Source organism: Homo sapiens, chromosome 1 (assembly GCF_000001405.40).
Source record: "Homo sapiens chromosome 1, GRCh38.p14 Primary Assembly".
In the NCBI taxonomy this organism is placed as follows: domain Eukaryota; kingdom Metazoa; phylum Chordata; class Mammalia; order Primates; family Hominidae; genus Homo; species Homo sapiens.
The window spans coordinates 150,927,577-150,951,279 of record NC_000001.11 but is presented as its reverse complement, the minus strand read 5'-3'; the positions used below and the strand labels follow the sequence as shown (position 1 = coordinate 150,951,279).

Sequence of the window (23,703 nt, the reverse complement as noted above, 5' to 3'; positions counted from 1 at the left end):
GTGTGGCCATGTCAGACTCCAGCCTCCCTACCTCATAGCTTTCATGGAGGCCTTATAGCAGGAGTTCCAGGTGAGGGAGGAGGTAAAGGAAGATGGGGAAAGCAGTACAGATACAAGGCAAAGGAAGAGGTGAAACAGACACCATAACAAAGTTGGAAGCAGGGGCAGCAATTCCCCCCACCAACTCACTTGTCCCGACACCCATCCTTGCAGTCACAGCCAACCAGAAATTCAGGGCCTGTGTTAATGAAAACACCCTTGCCCGGGATACGTTCCTTGCTGTAGGCCACCTGGGGTGGAGGGGTTGTGTCAATCTCATTGACACAGGATAGGGGAACATCTTCCTTCCCATAAGTGATGTCCAAAATATAGTAAAAAGGCTTATAGGGCTGAAACTTTCGGTCCACAAGAACATATGGATCCAAACAGAACATCTCCAGGAAGAGGAAGTCACAGCCAGTCTCGAAAAGGTAGCGTTCTATCTCCTGCATTGTCCGAAGGCAGAGACCACAAGGTGTCTTATAGATAACATGAAAGCCCATCTTGCGGTTAACTCGACGCCGGGCTGTCATCCGCCGGAAGTCATATAGTAACGGGACCAGCAGAGGGTTCTTGCCCCGGTACTGCTCATTCCTCATAGGTCTGACTCGAGACAGACAGGTATAGCTGCAGACATGAGGTAAGTAGAAAAGCTTCTCCATGGGAGCACGGTAGGAGGGCTCTGCTGGGGCCCGCTCCAGCATGCCATGGAAGACTGGGGGTGCTGGAGGGGCCGGGAGTGCTGAGGGTGCTGGGGCAGAGGCTGTGGAGCCTAAAGGTGATCTGCAAATGAGATGCAAGTGATCAGATCGGAAGGCAACAGGACCTCTGTTTTATAATTAACCCTCCAGGTAGCTAAGCCATTTCTCTCATCTTTCAAACAGCTGTGCTCCTGAAGCTAAAGATGATTCAAGAAAGATCTTCCCTTGCCCTACCAAACCTGGACAATGAAACTCCCTGGTTACTCTTCACTGACTGATAACATCTCTATTTCTCTTTTTTTTTTTGAGACAAGTTTCGCTCTTTTTGCCTAGGCTGGAGTACAATGGCACGATCTTGGCTCACCACAACCTCTGCCTCCTGGGTTCAAGCGATTCTCCTGCCTCAGCGTCCTGAGTAGCTGGGATTACAGGCATGCGCCACCACGCCTGGCTAATTTTGTATTTTTTAGTAGAGACAGGGTTTCTCCATGTTGGCCAGGCTGGTCTCGAACTCCCGACCTCAGGTGATCCACCCGCCTCGGCCTCCCAAAGTGCTGGGATTACAGGCATGAGCCACCGCGCCCGGCCTAACATCTCTATTTCAACAGTATACCTTTTCCTAAAATGTATTTGCCTGTGAATTATGGAAGTAGAATCCAGTCTTCTACCAATGTTTTTTTGGTCTGCTGCGTGTTCTAAAAATGTCCTTACTAACTCCAAGGAAAGAGGCTGTGGTGTTTCCTTTCTATTTTAGCAATGATGGCACCATGTTCAACAAGAAGTTTTAACAAATGGCTTTCAGATGATACCATATTTCCAAGCACCCAGCTTCCAATTCAATTATTCTTACTTTCTATTTCTTAGGAACTTCTATGGGTAAAGCTTCCTTTTCAAGTCCAAACTCCTCACTATCATAAGCTTAAACTAAGCCCTTCGCTTACAGCCAAGGAACCTTCCCCTACACAGTGACCACTCATTGCTATCCTGCCTACAGAGAGCCTCAGATTTTCTCACCTATATGTCTGGTTGATCCCAGGTTTCCCACCAGAGACATTTTCACTGAGTGCAGGAGATGTAGGGGAGGAATGACCAGAGCCCACAGATCCTGGTCGAAAGGACGTGCTCTTTTTGGCTACCTGCTTCCGTGACTGGGCAAGCTGGCTTTCCAAGCTTCTAGGAGATTAGAGAAGAGGGCATATAGTAAGGGATGTGGAAAATATAATATGAAAGAAACTGAAGAAAAAGAAAGAATAACACTCACTCACTGTCACCTGCTTGGGGGGATAGAGGTGGAGCAGGTGGGAAAGGTGGGGCAGGTGGAGCTGTAGGCTGTGGGGGTTCCACTGGCTTGAACTGGGTTCCAGTACCGGTCAGATCCTGTGTGTACTGGACAACAGGGCCTTTGCTCCTCACAGCACCTATAGGAAAAAGGAAATTGAGCACTGAGAAGATGATAGCTATGACGCTTGTATTCAGTCACACATCTGATCCTTAACTTATACAATATAAAAAGGAAGCAATGGCTGGGCGCAGTGGCTCTTGCCTGTAATCCCAGCAGTTTGGGAGGCCGAAGTGGGCAGGTTGCTTGAGGTCATGAGTTTGAGACCAGCCTGGCCAACATGGTGAAACCCCGTCTCTACTAAAAATACAAAAATTAGATGGGCATGGTGGTGCACATCTGTAATTCCAGCTGCTCGGAAGGCGCAGGACAATCACTTGAAACCAGGAGGTGGAGGTTGCAGTGAGCCGAGATCACATCACTGTACTCCAGCCTGGGCAACAGAACAAGACTTCGTCTCAAAAAAAAAAAGCAGCAATGGACACATTTTGAGTAAGTGCTTAGACTCTCAGTTCCCATTATTGACTGGCATGGACGCTGGCATACATTGTTTTTTGACTTAGATAATACTTTTTCTTTTATTAAAGTGAAAGCAAGTTTATTCACAAAGTAAAGGAATAAAAGAATAACGGCCAGGCGCGGTGGCTCATGCCTTTAATCCCAGCACTTTGGGAGGCTGAGGCGGGCAGATCACCTGAGGTCAGGAGTTCAAGACCAGCCTGGCCAACATGGAGAAATCCCGTCTCTACTAACAATACAAAAATTAGCCTGGCATGGTAGCAGTCGCCTGTAACCCCAGTTACTCGGAAGGCTGAGGCAGGAGAATTGCTGGAACCCGGGAGGCGGAGGTTGCAGTGAGCTGAGATGGTGCCACTGCACTCCAGCCTGGGCAAAAGAACCAGACTCCATCTCAAAAAAAAAAAAAAAAAATTGCTACTCTGTCGGCAGAGTAGCCTCTTTTTTTTCTTTTTATAGACAGTGTTCCACTTTGTTACTCAGGCTGAAGTGCAGCGGTGTGACCTTAGCTCATTGTAACCTTGAAATCCTGGGCTTCAAGCAATCCTCCTGCCTCAGCCTCCAGAGTAGCTAAGGCTACAGGTGCACACCACCACACTCAGCATTTTTTTTTTTTAAGAGATAAGAGTCTTTCTATGTTGCCCAGACTGATCTCCAACTCCTGGCCTCAAGTGATACTCCCACCTCAGCCTCCCAAAGTGCTGAGACTACAGACACGAGCCACCATGCTGGGCCTTAGATAAGACTTTATATCTTCCTATCTCAGATGATTTACCTAATTATGTTATACTTTGGGGAAATATTTTCAGAAATATATTCTTTAACCAACTAATTTTGGCAGGAAAAATCAACCAGAAAGTATGACAGTAATATTAAAAAAGAAAACCAAATCTGTTTTTTGTTTGTTTCTGAGACAGGGTCTCGTTCTGTCACCCAGGCTGGAGTGCAGTGGCACGATCTAGCTCACTGCAACCTCGACCTCCTGGCTTCAATTGATCCTCCCACCTCAACTTCTTGAGTAGCCTGGACTACAGCTTAATGCCACTGTACCCAGCTAATTTTTGTGTTTTTTTGTAGAAACAGGGTTTCACCATGTTGCCCAGGCTGGTCTTGAATTCCTCAGCTCAAGCAAACCACCTACCTGTCTCAGCTTCCTAAAGTGTTGGGATTATAGATGTCAGCCACTGTGCCTGGCCAGGTCTGGGTTTTAAAGAAAACTGACTATACGCTGGATGTGGTAGCTCATACTTGTAATCCTAGCACTTTGGGCAGCCGAGGCAGGTAGACAGCTTGAGCCCAGGAGTTCAAGACCAGCCTGGGTAACATATCAAGCCCCGGGTCTATTTAAAAAAAAAAGAAAAAGAAAAAACTAACCATAGATAACACACAAAACTGACAATTCTCATGTGGATAACAGAGGGTAACTACTATCACCCTAACCTAAAGCCAACTGTTTCAGATTTTTATGTGGTTGTTTAGAACAAATTAGAGCCACAGCATGTGGAAGCAGCAGCACAAATTGATCACCATGATTGGAAACAACTCAGGGCACATATCCTGTTTCCAATGAGTATACAGTGTAACCATGCTAATCAAAGGATAGCCATTGTATATAATCTCCTTTGCTGGTTGGCCTGTTTCTTCCTTCCTCCAGGAATCTTTCAGGACATACCCATATTTGGACGTGTCCTGAGCTGTCCTTGCTTCTTCTCCAGTGCAGAGGCTGAGGATGTTTTCATGCTGAACATGGGCTCCAGCCGTGTAGAGCCTCGATAGATCCACTCACATCTTTTGTCATCCTGGGGAATTGAGAGAAAAGAATGAAGGGAAATAGCTTAAAGGCTAGAATCTATCCTGTCCTGTGTAGAGGATATATACCATGTGTCACCTCTGGGAATCCTCCCTGATGAGCCTTAAATTCCTTAGTCTAAGCTAAGCACAGTGGCTCACGCCTGTAGCTTGTAATCCCAGCACTTTGGGAGGCTGAGGCAGGTGGATCACCCGAGGTTGGGAGTTCAAGACCAGCCTGACCAACATGGAGAAACCCCGTCTCTACTAAAAATACAAAATTAGCCGGGTGTGGTGGCGCATGCCTGTAATCCCAGTTACTCGGGAGGCTGAGGCAGGAGAATTGCTTGAACCAGGGAGGCGGAGGTTGTGGTGAGCCGAGACTGCACCATCGTACTCCAGCCTGGGCAACAGGAGCGAAACTCCATCCCCCCCAAAAAAAAATTCCTTATCTACTTAATAAAGTATGTGCCAGGATCCATGATGGGTATCAGGAACACAACAATGAAAAATATATACTCCTTGTTTAAGGAATTACAGGAGCAACAGATATCTATACTGAGTATAAGAGGTATGACAGCTGGGCACAATAGCTCACACCTATAATCCTGGTATGTCGAAAGGATGAGGCAGACAGACTGCTTGAGCTCAGGAGTTCGAGACCAGCCTGGGCAACATGGCGAAACCCGTCTCTACTAAAAATACAAAAATCAGCCAGGTGTGGTGGCATGCACTTGTAGTCACAGCTACTTGGGAGGCTGATGTGGGAGGACCACTTGAACCCTGGAGGTTGAGGCTGCAGTGAGCTGTGATTGCACCACTGCACTCCAGCCTGGGTGGCAGAGTGAGACTGTCTCAAAAAACAAAACAAAACAAAACAAAACAAAACAAAACAGGCCAGGCGTGGTGGCTCACGCCTGTAATCCCAGCACTTTGGGAGGACAAGGCAGGTGGATCACTTGAGGTCAGGAGTTCGGGACCAGCCTGCCAACATGGTGAAACCCCGTCTCTACTAAAAATACAAAAAATTAGCCAGTCCCAGCTACCCGAGAGGCTGAGGCAGGAGAATCACTTGAACCCAGGAGGCGGAAGATGCAGTGAGCCGAGATCGTGCCATTGCACTCTAGCCTGGGCAACAAGAGTGAAACTCCGTCTGAAAACAAAACAAAACACCAAACAAAAAGCATGATAAGGATCATAAGGCCTTAGAAGTAACGGGCTGAGGTAACACCAAGAAGAAATATAACTTCTAATTTCTTCTGGCTACTCTGGGCACACTGCCTATCAGGTAGCCTTGTTCTGCAAGCAGCAGTATTAAAAAATGTTTTTAAAACTTTTAAAAATAAGAAATATGATTCTAAGAAGGGAGAGAGAAGGGAGAAAAGGATGAGTACAAAATACCTAAGAGTTAAACTGAGCCTTGAAAGATAATCAGGACTCCTTGATCCCTCTTCTTCGTCCCACTATCCTACTAAAACCTTAACCCTGGAAAAATGGAATTGGCTGCCCTTTCTGTACCTACACACAATGTGAATACTCCTAAAGAAAAAAAATAAATAAATCAAAACCATGCAGATTCGTATTATAATTCAGATAATTTATTTTCAACAATGACCTGCAGAGGAACAACAAAAAGGGCAAAGTAAAATTTGACCAAAAACAGTGAGAACACATACGAGGATAAGAAAGAGGAAGGCTATGGAATAGCTATAAAACCATCCTCATTACTGCTTCTTAAGTTCCCCCCCCACCAACCTCTGCCTCCAAAATTGTAGAGAAGAACAGTACCAGGAAGAGGATCCTGACTAGGCTGCCATCCACCTCCTCAACTCGGGACTTCCACCACGTGCCTTCCCACTCAGTCTTGATAAGCTGGCCACTCTTGAGCAGTACCATGGGGCGGTTGGGGTAGGCAGTGACATACTCCTCTATGAAGTCACGGCAGGAGATGTCTTCTATGTCCTCCCAAGTCTTTTTCACTGTTTCAAGGAAGAAGTAGAACTGAGAGGGCAGGTAGGGCATGTCTTGATAGGGAAAAGACTTGGCCAGGAGACATTTGATACTTTTTAAGTTGAAAAGGAGAGAAAAAGTAAAATCAGAACCTCAAGGGAAGCAAAGCCAAGACCACCTAAGTAATAAACCTAATGTACAAACTGTACATACTTACAAATCAAGTAAATACTAAATAAGAAATGTACAATATAGGTGATTCACTTATTTTACACAAATGGATGTTTCTCCTCTGGAAAATTCAAGTGGAAATTCTTGCTCACTTGTTGATCAGTCTAGTGGTAAATTTAAAAAGATCAGGTGGCATCATGAAATGAAAAAAATTAGTCCTTCCTTCTCATTCTCTATCAGGTTTTTAAGAGACTCAGAATGTGTTTACTGTCATGTTATGTGTAAACAAAAGTGTTAGTTGATTCTTCTGCAGTTAAAAATGATTGTTTCCATAGGAGTCTGCTCCCAAGCCAGGGTAACAAATATAGTGGACACTATGAGGTTCCATCTAACACAGCTTCTGTGGAAAGCATTATGCAGACTACACATTTATACAAATGTTAGGTGCAGTATGACACTAGGAAAGAAGTAACACCTTTTCCAACGTAACTCACTTAGAAATGAAATTGAAGCACATCTATAACGTGAGCAGTCTACTCAAGGCCATTCATGATCTTCTAGTGTCTCACTCTTTGTCTACAAAGACCCAGTCCTGGAGATGAACAATAAAACTGTATCTCTTTTGGGAGCAAACTGACCTTTGGGAGCAAAAGACATCAACCAAACTTATGCTCTTTGAGACTGAAATACCAAAAACACTAGGGCTTTTCAACTGGATGTCCTAAGAAGAAATACAAGGTAGAGGAGAAAACTGAGCTAAGGAATAAGGGAGAAACACTCACGTGGCCGGCAAATGGGATACAGTTCCGACTGTGTGACATAGGAAGCATAGCCATCATCAAAGAAAATGAGAAACCTATAAAAGAAGAGTGACAGCAGAAAGATCTGGGGGTTATGATATTTAACATGATCCACAGAAATTATTTTATCATAGCTTCTACTTCTCTGGATCACAACACGATGCACTCCAGGGAAGACAATCCAGTCCACTACTTTCTTCCTGTTTTTCTTTCTTCTCAACTTGAGAGTTAGGAGTTCTCCCTTAATTTAACCAATACCTCCCTACTTTTAAAAAAACACATATACATATAAATATTTTTGAGACGGAGTCTCCTTCTGTCGCCCAGGCTGGGGTGCAGTGGTGCAATCTCGGCTCATGGCAACCACTGCCTCCCAGGTTCAAGGAATTCTCCTGCCTCAGCCTCCCAAGTAGCTGGGATTACAGGCATGCGCCACCACACCCAGCTAATTTTTGTATTTTTAGTAGAGACAGGGTTTCACCAGTTGGCCAAGCTGGTCTCGAACTCCTGACCTCAGGTGATTCACTTGCCTTGGCCTCCCAAAGTGCTAAGATTACAGGGATGAGACACTGGGCCCGGCCAAAAAACATATATTCTTTTTCCTCTATCAGATTCCTATGCTGCCAATAACCATTTAGTCTCCATTTCTTTCTTCTGTGTGAATTGTATTCCCCTGACCATTAATCAATCCTCATTATTCTCTTCCTAGTTTTCTCTTTGAGGAAAGAAAAGGAAAAAAAACAGGAGGAGAAAGAGGAAGAAAGAATCACCCACATGACTCCTGTGGTAAAGAAAGAGTAAGGGTTTCAGTCCACTGGGGACTAAGAAGACAAAAGCTAATTGTGGTATCTGGTCTATGGCACGAACAGGGCAGGTGCTGTGCTCCCAGCCTCTACCCCTTTACAGTCCTCTGTCCAGGTACCTGAGCTTGTTTTTGACGTTTGGTGTCTCAGCTACAATGCCAGCATAGAGCCAGACCTGATTCCCATCTTTGTATTTGGCGACCACCCGACTGCCCACATACAGCTTGTCAGCAGGAGGGTGGTAATCATAGGCAATATGGTTCCCCGACAGTAGACTCTTTCCTTTGTTGTCAAATTTCACCTTGTATTTCTTCCCTGGCCCTGAGTAAAAGGGAAAGATAAATCTTTTTAAACACTGCCAGTTTCTGTATAAATCCAGGCTGCTATGTGAGAGACAAATGGGAAGGTTATGGGGAAAAGAAACAATCAGCAGTGGAGGGTGCAGGTTGCCTTTCAGGAGTGGTTCCTCCAAGTTTGCACATACCAACTGTCTGGATGGCAATAAGGGTGCCTTTGTGCCAAGTCTTAGTTCTCTTCTTGCCCAGAATTCGCATGCTGACTATCAGGTCACCATCTTTGCTTAGTTCTCCAGACATCTGACTCAAGGTTCCTATAGAAGAAGCAAAGTTATTCTCAAGAGTTATGACATAGATTCGGTAGAGAACGGGAAGGTAAAGAGGGTAGTATGGTAATTAGGGAAAGTGGGGTAATTTTTTTTTTTTTTTTGAGATGGAGTCTCACTCTGTCACCAGGCTGGAGTGCAGTGGTGCGATCTTGGCTCACTGGAACCTCCGCCTCCCTGGGTTCCAGCGATTCTCCTGCCTCAGCCTCCCGAGTAGCTGGGACTACAGGCACGCAAGGTGGCACCACTACACCCAGCTAATTTTTATATTTTTAGTAGAGACGGGGTTTCACCATGTTAGCCAGGATGGTCTCTATCTTTTGACCTCATGATCCGCCTGCCTCGGTCTCCCAAAGTGCTGGGATTATAGGCATGAGCCACTGTGCCCGGCCAATTTTTTTTTTTTTTTTTGAGATGGAGTCTCGTTCTGTTGCCCAGGCTGGAGTGCAGTGGCATGATCTCGGCTCACTGCAACCTTCACCTTCCGGGTTCAAGCGATTCTCCTGCCTCGGGCTCCTGAGTAGCTGAGATTACAGGCGTGCGCCACCACGCCTGGCTAATTTTTGTATTTTTAATAGAGACAGAGTTTCACCATGTTGGTCAGGCTGGTGTCGAACTCCTGACCTTGTGATCCGCCCACCTCGGCCTCCCAAAGTGCTGGGATTACAGGCGTGAGCCACCGTGCCTGGCCCATCTGGAGAATTTTTAAACATTTTTTTTTGTAGAGATGGGGTTTCACTATGTTGCCGAGGCTGGTCTTTAATGCTGGGCCTCAAGTGATCCTCCTGCCTCAGCCTCCCAAAGCTGCTAGAATTACAGATATGAGCCACCACACCTGGCCTCAAACCTTTTTGTAACAAGAGTCTGAGTGATTCTCTTCTCCCTAATCTCCACCTGGAAGCAGTCATGAGGATGGAAACAGCCTAAATGTAGGACGCTAAAGAGGTATTGAGATAAAACCATCACAGACTGGAAAAATCACCATCAATGTAACTGGGATTTCATAACTACTAAGGATACTGAGTCTGGCATGTCACAAACAATTAGCAGACATAAGACTTAAGACAAAATCTCTGTAAGAATTCACCTCCCATCTGTACCCAGGTATTTCTTGACCCTAACCTTTATGCAGATCCTGGGAACTGCTCTTCTTGTTGACAGCATCCATGAACTTCTGAACATCTTGAGCTGACTTTCTTAAGGCAGCCATAGCTTCACGGAGCTGTAGAAAAGGGGATGAGGAAAACAAGTTTTGAAACAGTAGCATGGGTTACAAATAACTTCAGAATAAGAAACAACTTGTATTTCACAAAACAAAATGGAGTGAGTTATGTTTGGAAGCTTATGGTTACTTTATCTGGCAAAGCTGCCCTTACTCTTTTTTTTTGATATGGAGTTTAGCTATTGTTGCCCAGGCTGGAGTGCAATGGCACAATCTCGGCTCACCATAACCTCCACTTCCTGGGTTCAAGCGATTCTCCTGCCTCAGCCTCCGGAGTAGCTGGAATTACAAGCATGCGCCACCATGCCCAGCTAATTTTTTTTTTTTTTTTGAGATGGAGTCTGGCTCTGTTGCCCAGCCTGGAGTGCAATGGCATGATTTAGGTTCACCGCAACCTCTGCCTCTCGGGTTCAAGCGATTCACCTGTCTCAACCTCCAAAGCAGCTGGGACTACAGGCACGTGCCACCATGCCCAGCTAATTTTTGTATTTTTAGTAGAGACAGGGTTTCACTATGTTAGCCAGGCTGGTCTCAAACTCCTGACCTCGTGTTCCACCCGCCTCAGCCTCCCAAAGTCCTGGGATTACAGGCGTGAGCCACTGTGCCCAGCCTGATTTTGTGTTTTTAGTAGAGATGGGGTTTCTCCATGGTTAGGCTGCTCTTGAACTGCCGACCTAAGGTGATCCACCTGCCTCAGCCTCCCAAAGTGCTGGGATTACAGGCGTAAGCCACCACGCCTAGCCTCTTTTTTTTTTTTTTCTGAGACAGAGTCTTGCTCTGTCCCCCAGGCTAGAGTGCGGTGGTGCGATCTCAGCTCATTGCAACCTCTGCCTCCTGGGTTCCACTGATTCTCCTGTCTCAGCCTCCCAAGCAGCTGGGATTACAGGCATGCACCACCATGCCCAGCTAATTTTTATATTTTTTTAGTAGAGATGGGGTTTCGCCATTTTGGCCAGGCTGGTCTTGAACTCCTGACCTCAGGTGATCCACCCACCTGAAACTCCCCAAGTGCTGGGATTACAGTCGTGAGCCAATGTGCCCAGCCCAAAGCTGCCCTTGCTTAGAAACCTAGTTCAAAAATCAACGTTTCAATGTTAGGAAGCTTTTCTTGATTAATTTACCTAGCAAACACTGCTAAATTCCACTTTCATACAACACTCCTTTCTAGTGAAAGCATTTTTTGCTAACCTCTTTTTGAATTCTTACAGCATCAATCAGAGGACTGCAACGCAAAGGGCTGATCACAGGGTGAATGATTAGATACTGACAGCTAAACTGATTAAATGGTTAGGCCAAAAAATTCTCCTATTTTCATATTCTTATCTCTCACCCTTCCCTTACCATCCTAACTTACCTTCTGGTCTTTTGGAGTTCTGCTCCCAGCATCACCTATGGACGAGAAGAACTCTAATGAGTGTCAGAGACTTACACAGAGGAACTTCTGGGAAATTAAGAACTAACTTACTCAAAAGCATTATTATGGGAGCATTATCAACAATAACTGAAAATAATCTTGATATAGGTATACACACAAATATAAAGTACTCAAAAGGGTCTGGAAAGACACAAAGTAAATAGCCAGGTGTGGTGGCTCACACCTGTAATCCCTGCTACTTGGAAGGCTTAGGTGGGAGGACTGACTGAGGCCAGTTCAAGACTAGCCTGGGCAACATAACAAGAGCCTGTCTCTTAAAAAAAAAATTAGGCCAGGCGCAGTGGCTCATGCCTGTAATCCCAGCACTTTGGAAGGCCAAGGTGGGTGGATCACCTGAGGTCAGGAGTTTGAGATCAGCCTGGTCAACATGGTGAAACCCCGTTTCTACTAAAAATACAAAAATTAGATGGGCATGGTGGCACATGCCTGTAATCCCAGCTACTTGGGAAGCTGAGGCAGAAGTGCTGGAATCCGGGAGGCAGAGGCTGCAACGAGCTGAGACTGCACCACTGCACTCCAGCCTGGTTGACAGAACGAGACTCTGGCTCAAAAAACAATAATAATAAAAAATAAAAATGTATAGTTCAAGCCTGAACAACACAGCAAAACCCTGTCTTTACCAAAAAAAAAAAAAAAAAAAAATGCTGGGTGCAGTGGCTCACACCTGTACTTCTAGCACTTTGGGAGGCCGAGGTGGGTGGATCACCTAATGTCAGGAGTTCCAGACCAGCCTGGGCAACATGGTGAAACCAAACCCCTTCTCTATTAAAAACACAAAAATTAGCCAAGCGTGGTAGCAGGCACCTGTAATCCCAGCTACATGGCTTCACGAGAAGCTGAGGCAAGAAAATCGCTTGAACCAAGGAGGCAAGGGTTGCAGTAAGCCAAGACTGCACCATTGCACTCCAGCTTGGTGCAGCGTAAGACCAGTGGAGTGCAGTGGCGTGATCTAGGCTCACCGCAACCTCTGCCTCTCGGGTTCAAGTGATTCACCTGCCTCAACCTCCAAAGCGGCTGGGACTACAGGTGACAGAGTAAGACCCCGTCTCAAAAAAAAAAAAAAAAAAGTAGGATAAAAATAAAACGTGTAGGCCGATGGTGGTGGCTCAAGCCTATAATCCCAGCACTTTGGGAGGCCAAGGTGGGCAGATCACCTGAGGTCAGGAATTCCAGACCAGCCTGGCCAACATGGTGAAACCCCATCTCTACTAAAAATACAAAAATTAGCTGGGCATGGTGGCACGTGCCTGTTATCCCAGCTACTCGGGAGGCTGAGGCAGGAGAATCACTTGAACCGGGACCTGGGAGGCGGAGGTTGTAGTGAGCTGAGATCGTGCCACTGCACTCCAGCCTGGGCTACAGAGCGAGACTCTGTCTCAAAAAACAAGAAAAAATAAGTGTAATTCAGTGGTTTTTGGTAATTAAACTAACATCACTATCGAATTCTGGAGTGATGAAGAATTTCATCACTCCAAAAATTTCCTCATACCTATAGCAGTCATTTCTCATTCCTCCCTCCCCCAAACTCTGGCAATCACAAATTTACTTTCTGTCTCTATGGATTTGCCTATTCTGAACATCTCATATAAAGAGAATCATGTAATATGCGGTTCCTCAAACAAGGTTCATCTATGTTGTACCACGTATCAGTACTTCATTCCTTTTTTTTTTTTTGAGATGGAATCTTGCTCTGTCGCCAGACTGGAGTGCAGTAGTGTGATCTCAACTCACTGCAACCTCCACCTCCTGGGTTCAAGTGATTCTTCTGGCTCAGTCTCATGAGTAGCTGGGGTTACAGGCACGCGCCACCACACCCAGCTAAATTTTGTATTTTTAGTAGAGACAGCCATATTGGCCAGGCTGGTCTCCAACTCCTGACTTCGTGATCCACCCACCTCAGGCTCCCAAAGTGCTAGGATTACAGGCATGAGCCACCGTGACTGGCCCCTTCATTCCTTTTTATGGCTGAATAATATTTTATAGCAGTCAATACATGGGTGTATGTGTATACCACATTTGGTTTATCCATTCATCAGTTGATAAACATTTGGGCTGTTTCTACTTTTGCCTATTATGAATAATGCTGATATGAACATTCATTTATCAGTTTTTACATCAACAAATGTTCTCATTTCTCTTGGGTATATGGCCAGCAGTGGGTGGGTTATGGTAATTCTATGTTTAACCTTTTGAGGAACCAAAAGACTATTTTCCAAAGTGGCTATAGCATTTTATATTTCCATAAACAATTTATGAGGTTTTCAATTCCTCCATATCCTTGTCAACATTTGTTATTGTCTTTTTAAAGAGACAGGTTCTCGTTACGTTGCCCAGGCTGGCCTTGAACTCCTGGGTTTAAATGATCCACCTGCCTCAACCTCCTGAGTAGCCAGGACCGTAAGCAAAACCCAACACCTGACTCTAATCATTTTTAAGTGTACAATTCAGTGGTATTAAGTATATTTATATTGTTGTGCAACCATAACCGCCATCCATTTCCAGAACTCTTTTCATTTTGCAAAACTGAAACTCTGTACCTATTAAACACTCCCCATTTTCCCCTCCCTCCAGCCCCTGGCAGCCACCACTGAATGCTAGATATCTCATCTAAGTGAAATCATTTGTCTTTTTGTGACTGGCTTATTTCACTTAGCATAATGTCCTCAACGTTCACCTATGTTTGTCTTTTTTTTTTCTTTTTTTTTTTAGTGGCTGTGTAATAATCCCTTGGGTGGTAATACTATATATATACACATATATTTTTTCTTTGAGACAGATTCTTACTCTGTCATCCAGGCTGGAGTGCGGTGGCCCAATCTTGGCTCACAGCAACCTCCGCCTCCCGGGTTCAAGCAATTCTTGTGCCGCTGCCTCCCCAGTAGCTGGGATTACAGGCACCCACCACCATACCCAGCTAATTTTTGTATTTTTAGTAGAGATGGGATTTCGCCATACTGGCCAGGCTGGTCTCGAACTCCTGACCTCAGGCGATCCACCCGCCTCGGCCTCCCAAAGTGCTGAGATTACAGGTGTGAGCCACTGTGAGCAACCTACAAATTTTTTTTTTTTTAAATCAGGCAGGCGTGGTGGCACTTGCCTGTAGTCTCAGCTACTTGGGAGGCTGAAGTCGAAGTGAGCTATGATAGCACTACTGTGCTCCAGCCTGGGTTACAGAGTGAGATACTGTCTAAAAAAATATATATCAAATAAAGTTGAGGTTTCTATATCCTAAGAACTAGTGACTCTCTTACAGTATATACACTAAAAAGACTCCTGCACATGTGCATCAGGAGACATGTACAAGAATATTTGCAGTAGTGTTATCTGTAATCTCAAAAAATGTAAATCAATGTCCACAATCAGGAAAACTGATAAACTGTGGCATATTCATACAATGGAATACCATGCTGCAAAAAGCAAATAAGCTAATCATCATGCATCAACACAATGTTGAAGAAGTCAAAGCCAAGGGAGACGTCAGAACTAAATGTAACTCTGAATGCATTCGCCTCACTAGCTAAACTATTCCAAAAAATAGAAATAAAAAAGTCAATACTTGGAAGCCAAGCTAAAAAATTAAAAGTTAAAATAAAAAAACTGAACAGAGGCCTACAGGGTGGCTCACGCCTGTAATCCCAGCACTTTGGGAGGCCGAGACGGGCAGATTACGAGGTCAGGAGATCGAGACCATCCTGGCTAACATGGTGAAACCCTGTCTCTACTAAAAAAATAGAAAAAAATTAGCCAGGCATGGTGGCGGGCACCTGTAGTCCCAGCTACTCGGGAGGCTGAGGCAGGAGAATGGTGTGAAACCGGGAAGTGGAGCTTGCAGTGAGCCGAGATTGCGCCATTGCACTCCAGCCTGGGCGACAGAGCGAGACTCCGTCTCAAAAAAAAGAAAAGAATAACTAGGATATGGAACTCTCAGGAAAATAAATTAAAACTCAGAGTTGCTAGATTATCTAAAAGTCAATATTCAACAAAAAGATAAGAGACATGCAAAGAAACATGAAAGTGTGACCTACACTCAAGACAAAAAACCCTGTCAATAAAACTGACTCTCAGTGATCCCAGATACTGGATTTATAAATATGCTCAAAGAACGATAGGAAATTAAGTTAAAAGGTTAAATGAAAATATACTAATACTTAATCAACAAGAGAATCTCAAGAGAAACTGAAACTATGAAATAAGGAACCAAATAGAAATTCCAGAGTTGAAAATGCAAAAACTGAAATGAAATACATATTAGAGGGGCTAAGTGGCAGAGTCACAACAGGAGTCAATGAACTAGAATATATAGATACCCATATAGAGAAATTATCCAATCCAAAGCACAGAGAGAAAATTGAAGAAAAATGAACAAAGCTTCAGAGACTTGTGAAAAGATGAATGTCAAGCATTCCACCATATATGTAATGGAAATCCCAGAAAGCAGGGAGAGACAAAAGGGAACAGAAAAAAAAAACCATGAAGAAATAACAGATGAAATACTTCCAAATTTGGTGAAAAACTTGAATCTACATACCCAAGAAGTTAAATGGACCTCAAGTAGGATTAAGAAAGAACTTGGATACATCCCAGTCAAACTAACACCAGAAGACAAAAAGAAAACCTTAAAACCAGCAAGACAAAACTGACTCATATACATGATACAAAAATAATTTCCTCTGACTTTCCATCAAAAATAATAGAGGCCAGAGGGCACAGGGATGGCGTATTTGAAGTACTGAAAGAAAACTCTGTCAATCAAGAATTCTATATCCCAGGTAGGGCCGGGCACAGTGGCTCACGCCTGTAATCCCAGTACTTTGGGAGGCCAAGGCGTGTGGATCACCTGAGGCCAGGAGTTTGAGACCAGCCTGAACTACATGACGAAACCCTGTCTCTACTAAAAAGACAAAATTAGCCGGGCGTGGTGGTGCACACCTGTAGTCCCAACTACTTGGGAGGCTGAGGCAGGAGAATTGCTTGAACCTGGAAGGTGGAGGATGCAGTGAGCTGAGATCTCACCACTGCACTCCAGCCTGGGCAACAAGAATAAAGCTCTGTCACAAAAAAAAAAAAAAATTCTATATCCTGGGTAAACGAAGATTGAGGGAATCCACTGTCAGCAGAACTGTACTGCAAGAAATATTAAAGGAAACCGTCTGGCTGGAAAAACATGACACTGGATGATAACTCAGATCCACAGGAAGGAATGAAGAGCAACAGAAGTGATAAATATCTGGGTAAATACATATTTTTCTTTTCTTCCCTTACCTTCTTTAAACATGAGACTGCTTAAAGCAGTAATTATAACACTAGATTATTGGCTTTAAACATGTAGCTATAATATATTTGACAATAGTATCACACAGGAAGAGAGTGAAAGTAGAAGTATGCTGGTGCAAAGTGGCTGTGTATATATATATATTTTTTGAGATGGAGTCTCGCTCTGTCGCCCAGGCTGGAGTGCAGCGGTGCGATCTTGGCTCACTGCAAGCTCCGCCTCCCAGGTTCACGCCATTCTCCTGCCTCAGCCTCCCAAGTAGCTGGGACTACAGGTGCCCGCCACTACGCCCAGCTAATTTTTTTGTATTTTTAGTAGAGACGGGGTTTCACCGTGTTAGCCGGGATGGTTTCGATCTCCTGACCTCGTGATCTGCCCGTCTCGGCCTCCCAAAGTGCTGGGATTACAGGCGTCAGCCACCGCGCCCAGCCAAAATGGCTGTATTTTTACCAGAATTAAGTCAGTATTAATTTGTAATAGATTATGATTAGGTACAGATGCAACCCCTTTTATGAAAGCTAAAAAAAAGAAAAATCAGGGGCCGGGTGTGGTGGCTCACTCCTGTAATCCTAGCACTTTGGGAAGCCGAAGCAGGTGGATCACCTGAGGTTGGGAGCTTGAGATCAATCTGACCAACATGGAGAAACCCTGTCTCTACTAAAAATACAAAATTAGCCAGGCATGGTGGTGCATGCCTGTAATCCCAGCTACTTAGGAGGCTGAGGCAGGAGAATCGCTTGAACCCAAGAGGCGGAGGTTGCAGTGAGCAGAGATCCTGCCATTGCACTCCAGCCTAGACAACAAGAGCGAAAACTCCATCTCAAAAAAAAAAAAAAAAAAAAGAAAAAGAAAAAGAAAAAGAAAAAGAAAAAGAAAAATCAGAAGAATGACAGTGGTTTTCTGAAATGTTTGTTTGACTTTAAGAAGGCAACAAAGAAGAAATAGGGCTAGGCACAGTGGCTCACGCCTGTAATTCTAGCACTTTGAGAGGCTTAGGTGGACAGATCACCTAAGGTCAGAAGTTTAAGACAAGACTGGCCAACACAGAGAAATCCTGTCTCTACTAAAAGTACAAAAATTAGCTGGGTGTGATGGCGCGTGCCTGTGGTCCCAGCTACTCAGGAAGCTGAGACAGGAGAATTGCTTGAACCCAGGAGGCAAAGGTTGCAGTGAGCAGAAGTTGCAGTGAGATCATGCCACTGCACTTCAGCCAGGGCAATGGAGCAAGACTGTCTCAAAAAAAAAAAAAAAAAGACAAAATAGGCCAGGCATGGTAGCTAAGGCCTATAATCCCAGCACCTTGGGAGGCCAAGGCAGGAGGATTGCCTGAGCTCAGGAGTTCGAGACCAGCCTGGGCAACATAGTGAGACCTTATCTCTACTACAAAAAAAAAAGTTAGCTGGGCGTGGCGGCATGTACTTTTAGTTCCAGCTACTCAGGAGGCTGACGTGGGAGGATCACTTGAGCCCAGGAGGTTGAGGCTGCAGTGAACTATGATCATGCTATCACACTCCAGCCTGGGGAACAGAGTGAGACCTTGTCAATCAATCAATTCATTCATTCATTCATTCATTCAAAAAGACTAAAATTATACAAAGTATATTCTCTGAACACAATAAAATTAATTAAAAATTAACAACAGAAAGATATCAAAAAAACCCCAAATATTTAGAAATCAAACAACCACAAGGAAAATTAAAAATGATGCCAAGTTTAATGAAGCTGAAAACACAACATAAAAAAAGTATGATATCCTGAGAGTGACACTGTATGGAAAAAAATTTATGAGATGCAGCAAAGCAATGCTTACGGGGAAATAAATAGCTTTAGAGCTTATATTAGAAAGGAAGAAAGGTCTAAAATCAATCCTGTAAGCTTCCACTTTGAGAGGCTAGAAAAAGAAGAACAAATCAAACCCAGTAAGTAAAAGGAAGAAAATAAACATCACACTGGAAATATATTTAATGTGATATCCTGGATTAGATCATGGAACAGAAAAAGTCCAGAAGCTGAATAAAGCCTGAAGTTTATATAAAAGTAATATACCAGTGTTTGCTTCTTAGTTTTGACATATGTACTAGATGAGGGATATATAGGAACTCTATTACTTTTTCAATTTTTCTATAAATCTAAAATTATTCCAAAATAAAAGATTTTAAAAATCCACAAAGAAAAGTCCAAGCCTAAATGGCCTCAGCACTGAATTTATCAAACTTTTTAGGAAGAAATATCATTCCATACAAACTCAGAGGAGGGAACACTTCTCAACTCATTTACAAGGCCTATATTACCCTGCTACCAAAGCCAAACAAGGACACCACAACAGAACTATAAACCAATAGCCCTCATGAAACAGATGTAAAAATTTTTTTCTTTCTTTTTTTTTAAAAAAAAAAAAATTAGAGAAGGGGTTTCACCATGTTGCCCAGGCTAGTCTTGAACTCCTGGGCTCAAGCAATCTGCCCAACTCGGCCTCCCAAGGTGCTGGGATTTCAGGCATGAGTCACAGCATCCAGCCAAGATCTTTTTTTTTTAAATCAGCAAATCCAATCCAGCAACATATAAAAAGAATTATACATCAAGACCAAGGCTGGTTTACTCCAGGAATGCAAGGTTGGTTTAACATCTAAAAAAACAACTACTGTAATACATTCTTAATATGATAAAAGACAAAAGGAACATAGGAGAATGATACAGAAAAAGCTGACAAAATCCAAAATCCAATTAGGCTATGATAAAATCTCTCAAACTAGGATTAGAAGGGGATTCCTTTAATTTAATAAATGACATCTATAGAAAACCTACTGCTAACATAATTAATGGTTAAACACCAAATGCTTTCATATCAACATCAGGAAGAAGAAAAGGATGTCTGTTTTTTTTTTTTTTTTTTTTGGGTGAGACAGAGTCTCACTCTGTCGCCCAGGCTGGAGTGCAGTAGTGTGGTTTCTTTTTTTTTTTTTTTGGTTTATCTTTATTTTTTTTATTTTTTATTTTTTAATTTTTTTTTATTATACTTTAAGTTTTAGGGTACATGTGCACATTGTGCAGGTTAGTTACATATGTATACATGTAGTAGTGTGGTTTCTGTTCACTGCAAGCTCCACCTCCTGGGTTCACGCCATTCTCCTGCCTCAGCCTCCCAAGTAGCTGGGACTACAGGCGTCCGCCGCCACGCCCAGCTAATTTTTTGTATTTTTAGTAGAGATGGGGTTTCACCGTGTTAGCCAGGATGGTCTGGATCTCCTGACCTCATGATCCGCCCTCCTTGGCCTCCCAAAGTGCTGGGATTACAGGCGTGAGCCACCACGCCTGGCCAGGATGTCTGTTCTGGAAACCCTTTTTTTTTTTTTTTTTTTTGAAGACAAGAGTCTTGCTTTGTCACCCAGGCTGGAGTGCAGTGGCACAATCACAGCTCACTGCAGCCTCAACTTCCTATGCTTAAGAGATCCTTCCACCTCAGCCTCCCAAGTAGCTGGGATTACTGGGGTGCACCACCATGCCTGGCTAATTTTTTTATTTTTAGTAGAGATGAGGTCTTGCTACGTTGGCCAGGCTGGTCTCAAATTCCTGGGATCAGGGGATCCTCCCACCTCAACCTCCCAAAGTGCTGGGATTACAGGTATGAGCCACTGTATCTGGCCTGCTCTTAAAACTTATTCAACACTGTACTGAAGGTTTTAGTGAGTACAATAAGAAAAGAAAAAGAAAGATATCCAGGGTAGAAAGGAAGAAGTAAAACAGACTTTACTTGCATGAATTAGTTTTAGAAAAACCTAAGGAATTGGCTGGGTGCAGCAGCTCATGCCTGTAATCCCAGCACTTTGGGAGGCCAAGGCAAGTGGATCACAAGGTCAGGAGTTCAAGACCAGCCTGGCCAAGATGATGAAACCCTGTCTCTACTAAAAATACAAAAATTAGCTGGGTGTGGTGGTGGGGCAGGGGGTTTGCCTGTAATCCCAGCTAGTTGGGAGGTCGAAGCAGAGAATTGCTTGAACCCAGGAGGCAGAGGTTGCAGTGAGCTGAGATTGCGCCACTGCACTCCAGCCTGGGCAACAGAGCGAGACTCCATCTCAAAAAAAAAAAAAAAAAAAAAAAAAAAGAAAATCCTAAGGAATCAACAAAAAGCTTCTAGAACTATGTGAGTTTAATGCGGTTGCGGGCTACAAGATCAATACACAAAAACCAACTGTATTTTTTATATTCTAATAACAGAACATACACTCACTATAAGTCCTGGCAATTCCACTCTTTGATGGAATACCCCAAAATAGGGGTTACACAGAATGAGGAAAGCAAAGTAATACAATCAGGGTGTAGCACATAGGGAACATCTATGATACTAACAATGTTGCATTTTTTTCTTTAATAGCCAACTCAGGCAGTTAGAAATATGGAGTTAGTGACAATGGTTTCTCCTCTCTTCTATTATCTTCTATTTGCTCATCTTCCAGTGTTTCAACTTCAGTCCTGAGACTCTCCTATCCAAAGCTCATCCCTTACCTGAATCAATACTGAGGACATCATCATCTTCATCAGGAATCTCAATTATTTCTGTAGGCCGGGAAGATTCGTCCTCAGAGCTACTGTCCCGGTATTGTAGTCCCAGCTTGGAGTAGAAGTCCTTCACCAAAGACTCACAATTAGTCACTGCCCTAATATTGGAACACATGCAGAAAAGGTCAAAGCCAGTAGAGGAATTAAGAGATATAGAATCCATTACGATGTATATATATTTAAGTATAGACAGTCCTCAATTTAAATGGGCCACATTCCAAAGTGTCTCTGTTTAGAATTTAGAATGCTTTTTCTATAGAAAAATGTTTTAAATAGTGGTTTAGTTTCCAGACTAGTTCCTCAAAAATCCAAAGTAAGCCCAAAGTACAGTACTTTCACCCTTACCTCATTATTTACCTTGCTGTTATCTGAAAATGTATCCTGGCTGGCAGTGGTGGCTCACACCTGCAATCCCAGCAATTTGGGAGGCTGAGGCAGGTAGATCACTTGAGGTCAGGAATTTGACCTCCCCAGCCTGGCCGACATGGTAAAACTCCATCTCTACTAAAAATACAAAAATTAGCCGGGTGTGGTGGCACACGCTTGTCGTCCCAGCTACTCCGGAGGCTGAGACAGGAGAGCTGCTTGAACTCGGGAGGCGGAGGCTGCAGTGAGCCGAGATCACGTCACTGTACTCCAGCCTGGGTGAGACAGAGCAAGTCTCTGTCTAAAAAAAAAATAAAATAAAATAAAAATAAAATAAAAAAATGCTCATTATCAGTGGCCATCAGAGAAATGCAAATCAAAACCACCATGAGATACCGTCTCACACCAGTTAGAATGGCGATCATTAAAAAGTCAGGAAACAACAGGTGCTGGAGAGGATGTAGAGAAACAGGAACACTTTTACACTGTTGGTGGGACTGTAAACTTGTTCAACCATTGTGGAAGACAGTGTGGCGATTCCTCAAGGATCTAGAACTAGAAATACCATTTGACCCAGCAATCCCATTACTGGGTATATACCCAAAGGATTATAAATCATGCTGCTATAAAGACACATGCACACGTATGTTTATTGCGGCACTATCCACAATAGCAAAGACTTTAAACCAACCCAAATGTCCATCAATGATAGACTGGATTAAGAAATGTGGCACATATACACCATGGAATACTATGCAGCCATAAAAAAGGATGAGTTCATGTCCTTTGTAGGCACATGGATGAAGCTGGAAACCATCATTCTGAGCAAACTATAGCAAGGACAGAAAACCAAACACCGCACGTTCTCATTCATAGGTGGGAATTGAACAATGAGAACACCTGGACACAGGATGGGGAACGTCACATACTGGGGCCTGTCGTGGGGTGGGGGGAAGGGGGAGGGATAGTATTAGGAGATATACCTAATGTAAGTGACACCAACATGGCACATGTATACATATGTAATAAACCTGCACGTTGTGCACATATACCCTAGAACTTAAAGTATAATAAATTTAAAAACAATGTATTCTAAGTGACAACTAGAGCACCAGAAACAAATCTTTTGGGGGTATGGGAACTTACTAATGCTTCAGAGTTACGTAAGACAGAAATTCTTTACAATCCTCACTCCCTGGATGATCTTACTAGGGAAATGAAGCAATTGTTCTAAGATAGAGCACAGGAGGAAGAAGGGGAAAGGACTTAAGACTTGGACTCCCTTACTGCTGATCATGTATTAGCTGCTGACAGATGAAAATTATATTTACGGCTGATTGTAAGGTCAGATTTTTGACCATAAACTTTGAGGAAGAGTAAGGTTCTAAACATCTGTACTTCATAAAGTATAAAATGTTTGGTACACAGCCTGGCCAACATGGTGAAACCCTGTCTCTACTAAAAATATAAAAAATTAGCTGGGTGTGGTGGCGGATGCCTATAATTCCAGCTACTCGGGAGGGGGAGGTGGGAGAATCACTTGAACCCGAGAGGTGGAGGTTGCAGTGAGCCAGGATCACTCCACTGCACTCTAGCTTGGGTGACAGAGCGAGACTCCGTCTCAAAACATAAAATAAAATGCTTGGTTCAATGTCATGAACAATTATTCTCTAAAAACATCTCCCAATGGAGAGATTTCCTTCTATTTTCCATGGAGTTCTCACCTGGATGCATCATCAAAGAGTTGGTCAACGTGAGCCACCTCAGATTCTTTCTGTATTACCCATGTCTCTAACTCTGCTAGCTGCTTCTTGCGTTGCTGTACACAATCCATCTTCTCCAGTTCCTCATCGATGAAATGCCGAAGTTCCTCCATAGAGATACCCAGTTCCTCAACCACTGCCTGTTGCAGCTCTGCAATCTCTTCAGACTCCACTGTAGCTGTTGCTGCATCCAAACCAATGCACCCAGGAAGGGAAGACATGCTTTTGTCCTCTGCATGGAACAGAAAACAAATTAAATTGGAGTCCTTATAACTACAATCAATCAATAGAGAATTTCAGTTCCCTAATAAAACTAATTCCTACTCTGCTGCCTGTTATTCTATTCAAATATTCCATGT

The 23,703-nt window shown here is 43.6% G+C and overlaps 1 protein-coding gene across 21 annotated transcripts in view, besides 14 other annotated features; it reads right to left on the bottom strand.

The window, feature by feature from the left end:
• The window catches only part of SETDB1 (SET domain bifurcated histone lysine methyltransferase 1), a 38,475-nt gene that overhangs the window by 13,458 nt on the left and 1,314 nt on the right, over positions 1–23,703 (bottom strand). For 6 of the 21 annotated variants that reach the window (NM_001366417.1, NM_001393961.1, NM_001393958.1 and 3 more), the window contains exons 2-13: positions 23,306–23,576; positions 21,162–21,313; positions 11,306–11,340; positions 9,852–9,951; positions 8,592–8,717; positions 8,227–8,428; positions 7,287–7,360; positions 6,172–6,362; positions 4,268–4,394; positions 2,002–2,158; positions 1,755–1,913; positions 190–822 (exon numbers count right to left, since the gene is read on the bottom strand). In NM_001366417.1, the coding sequence (NP_001353346.1) occupies positions 190–822; positions 1,755–1,913; positions 2,002–2,158; positions 4,268–4,394; positions 6,172–6,362; positions 7,287–7,360; positions 8,227–8,428; positions 8,592–8,717; positions 9,852–9,951; positions 11,306–11,340; positions 21,162–21,313; positions 23,306–23,565 (2,216 nt within the window). In that variant the 5' untranslated portion in view covers positions 23,566–23,576. Of the gene's footprint in view, positions 1–185; positions 823–1,754; positions 1,914–2,001; positions 2,159–4,267; positions 4,395–5,959; positions 6,363–7,286; positions 7,361–8,226; positions 8,429–8,591; positions 8,718–9,851; positions 9,952–11,305; positions 11,341–21,161; positions 21,314–23,305; positions 23,577–23,703 lie in introns of those variants that run through there. The other 15 variants (NM_001393960.1, XM_047435582.1, XM_047435579.1 and 12 more) reach the window with 6 other exon arrangements.
• Positions 1,172–1,316: an enhancer, noted in NCBI's record as "145 bp 1:150922512 sequence used in MPRA reporter constructs". NCBI's record gives its function as "activates a minimal TATA-containing promoter with rs12059949 allelic activity by MPRAs in C283T melanocytes and UACC903 melanoma cells {active_cell/tissue: C283T | UACC903}" and the evidence as "EXISTENCE:reporter gene assay evidence [ECO:0000049][PMID:36423637]".
• Position 1,244: a transcriptional cis regulatory region, noted in NCBI's record as "rs12059949 or 1:150922512 MPRA-significant variant associated with a GWAS melanoma risk locus at 1q21.3". NCBI's record gives its function as "allelic transcriptional activity by MPRAs in C283T melanocytes and UACC903 melanoma cells {active_cell/tissue: C283T | UACC903}" and the evidence as "EXISTENCE:reporter gene assay evidence [ECO:0000049][PMID:36423637]".
• Positions 7,027–7,171: an enhancer, noted in NCBI's record as "145 bp 1:150916657 sequence used in MPRA reporter constructs". NCBI's record gives its function as "activates a minimal TATA-containing promoter with rs2271076 allelic activity by MPRAs in UACC903 melanoma cells {active_cell/tissue: UACC903}" and the evidence as "EXISTENCE:reporter gene assay evidence [ECO:0000049][PMID:36423637]".
• Position 7,099: a transcriptional cis regulatory region, noted in NCBI's record as "rs2271076 or 1:150916657 MPRA-significant variant associated with a GWAS melanoma risk locus at 1q21.3". NCBI's record gives its function as "allelic transcriptional activity by MPRAs in UACC903 melanoma cells {active_cell/tissue: UACC903}" and the evidence as "EXISTENCE:reporter gene assay evidence [ECO:0000049][PMID:36423637]".
• Positions 10,542–10,686: an enhancer, noted in NCBI's record as "145 bp 1:150913142 sequence used in MPRA reporter constructs". NCBI's record gives its function as "activates a minimal TATA-containing promoter with rs7556451 allelic activity by MPRAs in UACC903 melanoma cells {active_cell/tissue: UACC903}" and the evidence as "EXISTENCE:reporter gene assay evidence [ECO:0000049][PMID:36423637]".
• Position 10,614: a transcriptional cis regulatory region, noted in NCBI's record as "rs7556451 or 1:150913142 MPRA-significant variant associated with a GWAS melanoma risk locus at 1q21.3". NCBI's record gives its function as "allelic transcriptional activity by MPRAs in UACC903 melanoma cells {active_cell/tissue: UACC903}" and the evidence as "EXISTENCE:reporter gene assay evidence [ECO:0000049][PMID:36423637]".
• Positions 12,773–12,917: an enhancer, noted in NCBI's record as "145 bp 1:150910911 sequence used in MPRA reporter constructs". NCBI's record gives its function as "activates a minimal TATA-containing promoter with rs9661876 allelic activity by MPRAs in UACC903 melanoma cells {active_cell/tissue: UACC903}" and the evidence as "EXISTENCE:reporter gene assay evidence [ECO:0000049][PMID:36423637]".
• Position 12,845: a transcriptional cis regulatory region, noted in NCBI's record as "rs9661876 or 1:150910911 MPRA-significant variant associated with a GWAS melanoma risk locus at 1q21.3". NCBI's record gives its function as "allelic transcriptional activity by MPRAs in UACC903 melanoma cells {active_cell/tissue: UACC903}" and the evidence as "EXISTENCE:reporter gene assay evidence [ECO:0000049][PMID:36423637]".
• Positions 15,045–15,189: an enhancer, noted in NCBI's record as "145 bp 1:150908639 sequence used in MPRA reporter constructs". NCBI's record gives its function as "activates a minimal TATA-containing promoter with rs34336465 allelic activity by MPRAs in UACC903 melanoma cells {active_cell/tissue: UACC903}" and the evidence as "EXISTENCE:reporter gene assay evidence [ECO:0000049][PMID:36423637]".
• Positions 15,110–15,116: a transcriptional cis regulatory region, noted in NCBI's record as "rs34336465 or 1:150908639 MPRA-significant variant associated with a GWAS melanoma risk locus at 1q21.3". NCBI's record gives its function as "allelic transcriptional activity by MPRAs in UACC903 melanoma cells {active_cell/tissue: UACC903}" and the evidence as "EXISTENCE:reporter gene assay evidence [ECO:0000049][PMID:36423637]".
• Positions 15,729–15,873: an enhancer, noted in NCBI's record as "145 bp 1:150907955 sequence used in MPRA reporter constructs". NCBI's record gives its function as "activates a minimal TATA-containing promoter with rs4970986 allelic activity by MPRAs in C283T melanocytes and UACC903 melanoma cells {active_cell/tissue: C283T | UACC903}" and the evidence as "EXISTENCE:reporter gene assay evidence [ECO:0000049][PMID:36423637]".
• Position 15,801: a transcriptional cis regulatory region, noted in NCBI's record as "rs4970986 or 1:150907955 MPRA-significant variant associated with a GWAS melanoma risk locus at 1q21.3". NCBI's record gives its function as "allelic transcriptional activity by MPRAs in C283T melanocytes and UACC903 melanoma cells {active_cell/tissue: C283T | UACC903}" and the evidence as "EXISTENCE:reporter gene assay evidence [ECO:0000049][PMID:36423637]".
• Positions 20,450–20,594: an enhancer, noted in NCBI's record as "145 bp 1:150903234 sequence used in MPRA reporter constructs". NCBI's record gives its function as "activates a minimal TATA-containing promoter with rs2867296 allelic activity by MPRAs in C283T melanocytes and UACC903 melanoma cells {active_cell/tissue: C283T | UACC903}" and the evidence as "EXISTENCE:reporter gene assay evidence [ECO:0000049][PMID:36423637]".
• Position 20,522: a transcriptional cis regulatory region, noted in NCBI's record as "rs2867296 or 1:150903234 MPRA-significant variant associated with a GWAS melanoma risk locus at 1q21.3". NCBI's record gives its function as "allelic transcriptional activity by MPRAs in C283T melanocytes and UACC903 melanoma cells {active_cell/tissue: C283T | UACC903}" and the evidence as "EXISTENCE:reporter gene assay evidence [ECO:0000049][PMID:36423637]".